The sequence below is a fragment of the Homo sapiens genome, chromosome 16, assembly GCF_000001405.40.
Source record: "Homo sapiens chromosome 16, GRCh38.p14 Primary Assembly".
In the NCBI taxonomy this organism is placed as follows: domain Eukaryota; kingdom Metazoa; phylum Chordata; class Mammalia; order Primates; family Hominidae; genus Homo; species Homo sapiens.
Window position 1 is genome coordinate 30041463 of NC_000016.10, and position 11681 is coordinate 30053143.

At 49.1% G+C, this 11681-nt stretch overlaps 1 protein-coding gene across 6 annotated transcripts in view, besides 1 other annotated feature; it reads right to left on the reverse strand.

Moving 5' to 3' along the window:
* TLCD3B (TLC domain containing 3B) overlaps window positions 1-11578 on the reverse strand; it is a 28614-nt gene extending 17036 nt beyond the window's left edge. For 4 of the 6 annotated variants that reach the window (XM_047434736.1, XM_005255614.4, XM_017023752.2 and 1 more), the window contains exons 1-2: window positions 11312-11578; window positions 4861-4925 (exon numbers count right to left, since the gene is read on the reverse strand). The gene's annotated coding sequence lies outside the window, so the exon portion shown is untranslated. Of the gene's footprint in view, window positions 1-4860; window positions 4926-5103; window positions 5551-7789; window positions 7883-11311 lie in introns of those variants that run through there. The other 2 variants (XM_017023751.2, XM_017023750.3) reach the window with 2 other exon arrangements.
* Window positions 7183-7383: a silencer, noted in NCBI's record as "peak2562 fragment used in MPRA reporter construct". NCBI's record gives its function as "represses an SCP1 promoter by STARR-seq MPRAs in K562 erythroleukemia cells {active_cell/tissue: K562}" and the evidence as "EXISTENCE:reporter gene assay evidence [ECO:0000049][PMID:32103011]".

The window sequence follows — 11681 nt, forward strand, 5'->3', positions numbered from 1 at the left end:
ACCATATTGGCCAGGCTGGTCTGAACTCCTGACCTCAAGTGAGCTGCCCGCCTTGGCCTACCAAAGTGTTGGGATTACACACGCCTGTAATTTTTGTAAAATACAAAAAATTAGCTGGGCATGGTGGTGGGTGCCTGTAGTCCCAGCTACTTGGGAGGCTGAGGCAGGAGAATGGCATGAACCTGGGAGACAGAGCTTGCAGTGAGCCGAGATCACGCCACTGCACTCCAGCTTGGGCCACAGAGTGGGACTCTGTCTCAAAAAAAAAAAAAAAAAAGTGTTGGGATTACAGAGGTGAGCCATGGCGCCCAGCCGAGATATCTTTTATTTTGTGACTGCAGTTCATGCACCCACACGTTGAATGGAAAACCTTTGCACAACACATTCTGACTTACTATATGCAGTGCCCTGTGGAATTTTCTAGACCATTTTTCCACCAAATATTGATCATGACCCATTAAGCCAATTTCACTGCCCACTAGTGGCTAAACAAGCCAAGCGGGAAAAATCTTGGTTTGGAGAGCAGTGTTTCTCAATTTTTCTTTCATTATTGTTCCCCTAAGGAGCCCTTTTTACACTTTTTTTTCTAATCGCTGCCTATCACGAAAGTTTAATAACACAGATATATTTATGTCTATTTACATATATCTTTTCCATATTAAAAAGAGTAAGTTTTTTGCCCCCTTGGGGGCGATATTATACCAGTTGAGAAGGCATCATTGTCCTAATGCTCATTTTCTGAGCCGCCTTTATTTATTTATTTACTTATTTATTTTATTTTATTTTATTTTTTTCAGATGGAGTTTTACTCTTTTGCACAGGCTGGAGTGCAGTGGCACGATCTTGTCTCACTGCAATCTGCCCCCGCTGGGTTCAAGCGATTCTCCTGCCTCAGTCTCCCAAGGCGCCCACCACCACACCCAGCTAATTTTTGTATTTTTAGTAGAGACGGGGTTTCACCATGTTGGCCAGGCTGGTCTCAAACTCCTGACCTCAAGTGATCCACCCGCTTTGGCCTCCCAAAGTGTTGGGATTACAGGCATGAGCCACCGTGCCCTGCCTCTGATCCGCCTTTATACACATCAATCCCAACATCCAATGAGATAGGATTAGTTCCATTTTGCAAGTGATTAAGTGGAAGCTGAGAGGTTATATTAATTATTGAAGATTGAAATGGCTGGCAATTAGACTGGGAATCCAGAAACTTACCAATATCCTAACTCAGCCTCTAGCTTCTCCAAACCTTTGTTTCCCCACAAAAAAAAACCTCAGTTATGGTCAGTTATGGGTGTTTTTTGTTGTTGTTATTGTTGTTGTTGTTTTTCTCTATTTGACCTAATAAGAGCAAACATTAGGCCAGGCACAGTGGCTCACACCTGTAATCGCAATGCTTTGGGAGGCCGAGGTGGGTGGATCATGAGGTCAGGAGTTTGAGACCAGCCTGACCAACATGGTGAAAGCCCATTTCTACTAAAAATACAAAAAAAATTAGCCAGGCGTGGTGGCACACGCCTGTAATCCCAGCTACTCAGGAAGCTGAGGCAGGAGAATTGCTTGAAACTGAAAGGCAGAGGCTGCAGTGAGCCGAGATCAGACCACTGCACTCCAGCCTGGTGACAGAGTAAAACTCCGTCTCCAAAAGAAAAAAAAAGCAAACATTTATAGAGCATTTACTAGACATCCGGCAGCAATCTAAGCCCTTTATATATATTAACTAACATAATATCCACAATAATCTTAAGACAGACATACTGGGGTTTTTGTTTTGTTTTGATTTTTGAGACGGGGTCTCTCATTTTGTCTCCCTTGATGAAGTACACTGGTACGATTAGCTCACTGTAACCTCAAATTCCTGTGCTCAGGGGATCCTCCTGCCTCAGCCTCCCAAGTGGCTGGGACTACAGGCTCTCAGGCTCATCACTACCAGCTTATTTTTTAAGTTTTTCCTACAGATGGGGGTCTCGATTTGTTGCCCAGGTTGGTCTCAAACTCCTGGCCTCAAGCATTCTCCTACCTTGGCCTCCCGAAGTGCTGGGATTATAGGCACAAATCACGTGTCAGGTGAGACATACTCTCAGTCACTGTTCGGATGAGGAAATTGAGGCACAGAGAGGTTGTGTGGCTTGCTCAAGGTCATGCAGGTAGAAAGTGGCACAAGCGGGGATTTGAACCAAGTAATCTGATTTTCAGAGCACAGGTTGTGCGTTTTGTTTTGTTTTTCACCATGTATTATTTTTTGAGATGGGGTTCTCACTCTGTTGCCCAGGCTGGAATGCAGTGGTGCCATCTCAGCTTCCTGCAACCTCCATTTGCCAGGCTCAAGTGATCCTCCTGCCTCAGCCTCCTGAGTAGCTGGGACCATAGGCAAGCCACCACCATGCACGGCTAATTTTTTGTATTTTTGGTAGAGACAGGGTTTCGCCATGTTGCTCATGCTGGTCTCAAACTCCTGAGCTCCAGCAATACGCCCGATCCTCCTGCCTCGGCCTCACAAAGTGCTGGGATTATAGGTGTGAACCACCATGGTTAGCATGAGCTAACCATGTCCTTTTTTTTTTTTTTTTAACTCTGTCTCCCAAGCTAAAGTGCAGTGGTGCGATCTCAGCTCACTGCAACCTCCGCCTCCCAGGTTCAAGCGATTCTCCTGCCTCAGCCTCTGGAGTAGCTGGGATTACAAGTGTGTGCCATCACACTTGGCTAATTTTTGTATTTTTAGTAGAGATGGGGTTTCACCATGTTGCCCAGGCTGGTCTCAAACTCCCGACTTCAAGTGATCTGCCTGCCTCACACCTCCCAGAGTGCTGGGATTACAGGCATGAGCCACAGTGCTAAACTAACCATGTACTTTATTTTCTTTCATTTGAGATGAAGTTTCGCTCTTGTTGCCCAGGCTGGAGGGCAATGGTGCGATCTCGGCTCACTGCAACCTCCGCCTCCTGGGTTTAAGCTATTCTCCTGCCTCAGCCTCCCGAGTAGCTGGGATTACAGGTGCCTGCCACCACACTCGGCTAATTGTTTGTATTTTTTTTAGTAGAGACAGGGTTTCAACCTGTTGCCCAGGCTGGTCTCAAACTCCTGACCTCAGGCGATCTGCCTGCCTTGGCCTCCCAATGTGCTGGGATTACAGAAGTAAGCCACTGTGGCTACCATGTACTTTAAAAGGAAACTTTTTATCACTCTGGAAAATAGAAAACCAGTACCACCTGTGATAAACAGAAGGTAACAAAAAATATACAAAATGAAAACACATTTTATAACATTCTAGCTAGATACTATGGGCAGCTGCTCATTCTGAACTGGAGGCTGGCTCTCTCCTTGTTCAAAAAAGAAAGATCAGGCCGGGCGCAGTGGCTCAAGCCTGTAATCCCAGCACTTTGGAGGCCGGCGGGCGGCGGGGGGGTGCGGATTAACTAAGGTCAAGGGTTCGAGACCAGCCCCTGGCCAATATGGTGTAACCCCATCTCTACTAAAAATATAAAAATTAGCCGGGCGTGGTGGCATGCACCTGTAATCCCAGCTAGTCAGGAGGTTGAGGCAGAAGAATTGCTTGAACCCAGGAGGTGGAGATTTCAGTGAGCCAAGATCGTGTCACTGTACTCCAGCCTGGGCGACAAAGCAAGACTCCATCTCAAAAAAAAAAAAAAAAAAAAAAAAAAAGAACAAAAAGATAAGCACAGAGAGAAAGGTGTTAAAGGGTTTCTGGCAGCAAATTGAGAGTTTCTCCTGCAGTAATCAGAAGCGTTGAAAGGGAATTGGAAAGAGAAAGAGAGTAGCTTGTTCAGGGTGTGTGTGTGGTGTGTGTGTGATGTGTGTGGTGTGTGTGTGGTGGGGTGTGTGTGGGGTGGGTGTATGGGGTGTGTGTGTGGTGTTTGTGTGTGTTTGTGTGTGTGGTGTGTGTGTGTGTGGTTTGTGTGTGTGGTGTGCGTGGGTATGGTGTGTGTGGTGTGTGGTGTGTTTGTGTAGTGTGTGTGGTGTGTGTGTGGTGCATGTGTGGTGTGTGTGTATTTGTGTGTGTGGTATGTGTGTTTGTGTGGTGTGTATGGTGTGTGTGTGTGGTGTGTGTGGTATGTGTGGTGTGTGTGTGTGGTGTATGTGGTGTGTGTGTGGTGTATGTGGTATGTGTGTGGTGAGTGGTGTGTGTGTTTGTGTGGTGTGTGTGTGTATTTGTGTGTGGTATGTGTGTTTATGTGGTGTGTGTATGGTGTGTGTGTTGATGTGTTTGGTGTGTGTTTGTGTGTGTGTGTGTTGTGTGTGTTTGTGTGTGTGGTGTGTGTTTGTGTGTGTGTGTGTCTTCTTGCTGACATACCACCTAAAATAAACCCAAGATGGGATGCACCACATACTCTGAACCCTTGTCGGGTGGTCAATGGGTGTTCAGGACATCCCAGCAGAGGAAGGGAGACACACCAGCCTGTCCTGGCCTGGGTGTGCAGCCAGAAAGCATGGGGCCAGGCTGGGCAACACAGTGAGACCTCCTCTCTACAAAAAGTCAAAAAAATTAGCTGGGCGTGGTGCTGTGTGCCTGTAGTCCCAGCTACTTAGGAGGCTGAGGTGAGAGGATCGCTTGAGCTAGGGAGGTGGAGGCCACAGTGAGCCATGATCGCGCCACTGCACTCCAACCTGGGTGACAGAGGGAGACCCTGTCTCAAAAACAAAACAAAAACAAACAAAACATAGAGCATTAGGCAGTCCACCACGTGTGGAGGGGCAGTGCAGGGCAGGGGTATAGGAGGGCCCATCCAAGCCTCTGTGACTTTGGCCACCATCTTTCCTTCCCCTAGCCTGTCTCCCCAGGTGAGTTTCACCCCCAGGCAGTCCTTAGAGACCCGCCACCCAATTTACCCTTGGCCTTGAGTTTACCGTTCTCTGTTCTTCCAGGTTCTGCCGCCCACAGGCTGTTTCACTCATCCTCTCCACCGGGTGCCCTGCGGAGGTGTGCAAGTGTGATATCATCAAAGGCTGTGAATAAGTAAACAATAAGTGGCCAGAAGTGGCCTGTTTCCCACATGATACCCAGGGAAGGGTCCGATTCCCCCCGCCTGGGCTCTGGGGCAAGTCCTGGCTGGCGTGCCAGAGCATTTATTATTTAGTATTTTTACTTACCTGTCCCAGGTTAGGGACTGTCCCAAGCAATGCCAGTCCCACCCTCTATCTGCACACCAGAAAAAGCTGAGGGCACAGCAGGTGATTGGAGTCAGACAGCTAAGGGTCCAATCCCTTTCTTCTCACATAGACTGGCTGTGTGACCTTGGCCAAATTTCACAACCTCTCTGAGCCTCCACTGAGCACACACCAAGTCCCATTGCCAGGCCTAAGTCCTGCTTCTGCCAGTCACTAGCCTGGCATCCTTGTGCAAGGGATTCAACTCCTCTGAGCCTTGGGCTCCTCATCAATGAAACAGCAGCACCTCTACCTGGGGCTGCTGGGGTGATTAAATGAGATCTGTGTAAAGCACAGTTGCTATACACATACGCATTGTGATATTCATTAATAGTCATTCAAAATGTATATATTTAGAGATGAGATCTCGATCTGTCGTCCAGGCTGGAGTGCAGTGGCATGATCATGGCTCCCTGTAGCCTTGAACTCCTGGGCTCAACTGATCCTCCCTCTTCAGCCTCCTAAGTAGCTAGAATTACAGGCATGAGCCACCATGCCCTGCCTGTTGTGTCATCTGTCTGTCTGTCTGTCTGTCTGTCTGTCTGTCTATCTATCTATCTATCTATCTATCTAGCGCAATCTCGGCTCATTGCAACCTCTGCCCCCAGCGGTCAAGCAATCTTCCCACCTCAGCCTCCTGAGTAGCTGGGGCTACAAGCATGTGCCACCGTGCCTGGCTAATTTTTGCTTTTTGGTTTTGGGTTTTTTTCTTTTTTTGAGATGGAGTCTTCCTCTGTCACCCAGGCTGGAGTCCAGTGGTGCAATCTCAGCTCACTGCAACCTCTGCCTCCCAGGTTCAAGCAATTCTCCTGCCTCAGCTTCCTGAGTATCTGGGATTACAGGCACGTGCCGCCATGCTCGGCTAATTTTTGTATTTTTAGTAGAGACAGGGTTTTACCATGTTGGCCAGGCTGGTCACGAACTCCTGACCTCAAGTGATCCGCCTGCCTCGGCCTCCCGCAGTGCTGGGATTACAGGTGAGAGCCACCACACCCAGCCTAATTTTTGTATTTTTTGTAGAGACTGGGTATTCATCATGTTGGCCAGGCTGGTCTCAAACTCCTGACCTCAGGTGATCCACCCGCCTCAGCCTCCCAAAATGCAGGGATTACAGGTGTGAGCCACTGTACGTGGCCTATAATTTTTTTTTTTTTTGAGATAGTGTCTCACTCTGTTGCCCATGCTGGAGTGGAGTGGTGTAATCATAGCTCACTGTAGTCTCAAACTCCTGGGCTCAGCCCTGGCGTGGTGGCTCACGCCTGTAATCCCAGCCCTTTGGGAGGCCAAGGCGGGTGAATTACCTGAGGTCAGAAGTTCAAGACCAGCCTGGTCAACATGGTGAAACCCTGTCTCTACTAAATATACAAAAATTAGCTGGGCGTGGTGGCGGGTGCCTGTAATCCCAGCTACTTAGGAGACTGAGGCAGAAGAATCGCTTGAACCCAGAAGGCAGAGGTTGCAGTGAGTCAAGATCGCACAACTGCACTCCAGCCTGGGCAACAAGAGTGAAACTTCGCCTCCAAAAGAAAAAAAAAAAACCACCACCAACAACAACAAACAAAAAAACTCCTGGGCTCAAGAGATTCTTCCACCTCAGCTTCCCAAGTAGTTGGACCATAAATACACATGAAAATTAGAAAACATGCATGTCTAATTTTTCTTTTTTTTTTGTAGAGATGGAGTTCACTATGTTTCTGAGGCTGGTCTTGAACTCCTGGGCTCAACCGATCCTTTCACCTCAGCTTCCCAAAGTGCTGGGGGATTGCAGGCATGAACCACTGCACCTGGCTATATATTTTAATGAGCCTTCATTCTATGCCATGTGCCTTGCATACATTTTCTCAAATAATCACAGAAAGCCCTGCCAGTCCCTGAGGGTTATCCCCACTTTCCACATGAGTACAACTGAGGCTCAGTGAGGTCAATTGACTTGTCCAGGGTTGCACAGATATACTGTGGCAGAACTAGAATTCAAATCCAGATCTTTCCTGGTTCTAAAGGCTTTTTTTTTTTCTCGCCCAGGCTGGAGTTCAGTGACATGATCTCAACTCACTGCAACCTCTGCCCTCTGCCTCCCCAGTTCAAGTGATTCTCCTGCCTCAGCCTCCCGAGTAGCTGAGATTACAGGCATGCACCACCACGCCCAGCTATTTTTTTTTCTTTTTGGGGGCGGAGTCTCTGTCTGTCACCCAGGCTGGAGTGCAGTGGTGCGATCTTGGCTCACTGCAACCTTCACCTCATGGGTTCCAGCAATTCTCCTGTCTCAGCCTCCCAAGTAGCTTGGATTATAGGCACCTGCCACCATGCCCAGCTAATTTTTGTATTTTTAGTAGAGATGGGGTTTTGCCATGCTAGCCAAGCTGATCTCAAACTCCTGACCTCAGGTGGTCCGCCTGCCTTGGCCTCCCAAAGTGCTGGGATTACAGGCGTGAGCCACTGCACTGGCCTAAAGGTTTTTTTCGTTTTGTTTCCAACTGGGCCATTATTATTTCCAACCTATAAGATGGAAGTAATTGTTTCTGCCACTCGTGCCTCCTGTAAGGATTAAGTAAGATAAAGTCTGTGGAGAGGCCTCTGTTGACACCAGCTCTAGCTCAGCACTGCTTCTTTATTCCCCCAGGGTAATTACCTAAACACAAGCCTTTCATTTTATACTAAGGAGGCTGGTGAACCTCTTCTTAATCTCTGGGAGATGATATCGTTGGATGTCCATTGGAGGCAGCTGAAAGTATTAGATCAGAATCAGAACTGCCAGGTCCCTTCCCACGTCCAAGCCTGCTGAAGCTTCTTTCATCTTCTGGGAACTCTGCATCTCTGATCTCCCACCCACCCCACGATTATTGGAAGTATACAATCCTGTCTGCCCTTTCCTAGGGGAAGTGCGGAACTACATATGATACATCTGACATCTCCAGCTTCCAACTTCGGGAGAGGAGACTTTGCGGTTAGCTGGCTATTGTGAAGTCAGTTTTTCTCTGCCCCCAGCAAATGTTGTGATGTGGATAGAAGTGGGGCCTCGGCACAGCCAGGCGCAGTAGCTCACATCTGTAACCCAGCACTTTGGGAGGCCGACGTGGACAAATCACAAGGTCAGGAGTTTAAGACTAGCCTGGCCAACATGGTGAAACCCTGTCTCTACTAAAAATACAAAAATTAGCCGGGCATGGTGGCATGCGTCTGTAATCCCAGCTATTTGGGAGGCTGAGATAGGAGAATCACTCAACTTGGGAGGCAGAGGTTGCAGTGCGCTGAGATCGCACCACTGCACTCTAGCGTGGGCAACAGAGCAAGACTCCATCTCAAAAAAAAAAAAAAAGAGAAAGAAAAGAAATGGGGCCTTGGCAAAGTGGGGTGCATACATCATCCCTTGTCTTGGCTTGCCTGGCAACACACAAGCCTGGGGCACTGCCCGTGCTCCTGCATAATGTATGAGCCCATGGTAGGAACAAAACACCAGCACCAGCGAGTCTGGGCACTGCAGGCCACGGACGTGTCCAGGGGCCTTGCCAAGGCTGAAGTCTCTCTGTTGGCAGAATATGCAGAATATGTGTTCCTGGAGGCCTTTTGTAGGGCTGAGGTGAGAACTGGCCTCAACTTGGTCCTCAGGATTCCATCAGACAATAAGACCGCCCAAGGCCGGGCACAGTGGTTCACGCTTGTAATCCCAGCAATTCGAGAGGCTGAGGCAGGAGGATCGCCTGAGCCCAGGAGTTCAAAAACAGCCTGAGCAATACAGTGAGACCCCGTCTATACAAAAAATTTTAAAAATTAGCTGGGTGTCGTAGCATGCACCTGTAGTCTCAGCTACTTGGGAGACTGAGGTGGAAGGATCCCTTGAGCCAGGAGGTCGAGGCTGTTGTGGTGAGCCATGATTGTGCCATTGCACTCCAGCCTGGGCTACCGAGTGAGACTCTGTCTCAAAAAAAACAAAAACAAAAACAAAAACCGGAAGACAGCCTAAGAAGACAATCTTCTTTAGGATCAATAATGGTGACATTAGCAACAGCTAGACTTCTGTTTTCTGGGCTTGAAACGCCCTCTGAGAGGGCCAGGGGTGGCCAAGAGGGTGGCTGAGACCACCTCAGTATGGTTGACAGTGGGAGGGAAGATTTGGATCCAGGGACACAGCCCCTGGCAGTTTCCGTGGCTGCCTCATGGTGTAGGAAACCCCAGGAGCAGCAGCTGTGGTGAGGTATGTTGGGGTGGAGAACATGGACAAAAATAGGTATATGGTGGCATTGTTTTTAGGGGAAAATGCCAGGATTCAGCCATCGTTTAGGAAGTCGGAGGCCTCCATAGAGAGGGGTGCTTGTGTGAGCGTGCATGTGTGGGTGTGTGCAAGTGTCTGTGTGTGTGTGATCTAAAAAGGTTAGGAATGAAACGGGGAGGTCTGAGTGCCTTGAAAGCCAAGGAAATTAGGACGTGTGGAAAACAATGCTTCATTCGTGGATGGTGTTTGGTTTCAATTCATTCATAGAATCAGTGAGTATTGGCTGAGTGCAGTGGCTCTGGCCTGTAATACCAGCAACCTGGGAGGCCGAGGTGGGAGGATCATTTGAGGCAGGAGTTGGAGACTAGCCTGGCCAACATAGTGAGACCCCATGTCTACTTTATTAAAAGAAAAAAACAGGCCAGGCGCAGTGGCTCACACCTGTAATCCCAGCACTTTGGGAGGCCAAGGCGGGCAGAACACCTAAGGTCGGGAGTTCGAGACCAGCCTGACCAACATGGACAAACCCCGTCTCTACTAAAAATACAAAATTAGCTGGGCATGGTGGCACTTCCAGCTACTCTGGAAGCTGAGGCAGGAGAATTGCTTGAATCCAGGGCGGAGGTTGCAGTGAGCTGAGATCACACCATTGCACTCCAGCCTGGGCGACAAGAGCAAAACTCCGTTTCAAAAAAAAAAAAAAAAAAGAAAAGAAAAGAAAAAAGAAAGAAAGAAAGAAAAAGAATCAGTGAGTATTCACCAAGGCTCCCAGGGCTAGGCCAAGTACTAGAGCTCAGGATACGGAGATGACTCAGACCAGGCCCCAGACACTTGCAGTCTAATTGTGGAGCCAGACATGGAAGTGAGGAATTCAAGTATCTTGTGAGAAGTGCGAGAACAACAGTATCTGTAGGATGCTGTGGGAATTCACAGTCCAAAGCAGCCACCTCTGCCTGAGGTTGGCAGGGAGACCTCACAGAGGCAAAACTGAGGACGTGCTTGAGGGATGAGGAAGAGGTTTGAGGGGAAGACAGAGGGTGTTCCAGGCAGAGGGATCAGCAACTGCAAAGCTGTGGAAATGTGAGACCCTACACACTGGTTCAGGAAGCTTCAGCAGATCCTACTGAAGGTGGCTTATGCCTGTAATCCCAGCTACCTGGGAGGCTGAGGCTGGAGGACTGCTTGAGCCCAGGAGTTCAAGACCAGCCTTAACAACATAGCAAGACCACATCTCTAAAAATTCAGAAAAAAAGGCTGGGCACAGTGGCTCATGCCAGTAATCCTAGCACTTTGGGAGGCCAAGGCGGGCGGGATTGCCTGAGGTTAGGAGTTCGAGACCAGCCTGGCCAACATGGTGAAACCCCGTCTCTACTAAAAATACAAAAATTAGGTGTGCGTGGTGGCAGTCGCCTGTAATCTCAGCTACTCGGGAGGCTGAGGCGGGAGAATCGCTTGAACCCAGGAGACATAGGTTGTAGTGAGCCAAGATCACACCATTGCACTCCAGCCTGGGAGATGAGCGAAAATCTGTCTCCAAAAAATAAATAAATCAATTAATAAATAAATCAGTAAAAAAGAACCGGGCCCGGCGCGGTGGCTCACGCCTATAATCCCAGCACTTTGGGAAGCTGAGGCGGGCGCATCACTTGAGGTCAGGAGTTCGAGACCAGCCTGGTCAACATTGCGAAACCCTGTCTCTACTAAAAATACAAAAATTAGCCGGGTGTGGTAGTGCGCGCCTGTAATCCCAGCTACTCGGGAGGCTGAGGCAGGTGAATCACTTGAACACGGGAGGCGGAGGTTGCAGTGAGCCGAGATCGCGCCACTGCACTGCAGCCTGGGCGACAGAGCGAGACTCCGTCTCAAAAATAAATAAATAAATAAATAAATAAATAAATAAATAAATATAAATAAAATATAAAAAGTAGCATTGATGTTTACAATATCCCTGAGCGGCAGGCGTTTCTCCCTTTTGCAGATGCTCAGTGGCTTGGCCGGAGATACATCCAAGTGGTGGGTGTAGCCTGGGGGTTCAATCCTCCTGTGGCGCCCCAGAACCCGGTGCCTCCTCCAACGTCCGGCATCTGATGAGGATCCGACCCAGGCGGGCGGCGGCGGGATTCGCTCTTCCCCTTCGCTCCCCGCGAGAAAGCCCCGAGGGCCGCGGCGGCGCAGAGCCGGTGACAGTTGAAGCTTAGGCGGGAAGAGGGAGGCGCGAGGCGGGAAGAGGGAGTTTGGGCCTCGGCAGCCGCCGTACAAACACCGCTCTGGTCACCATGGCAACAGCGGGATGCCGCGAACGGCTTCTGGG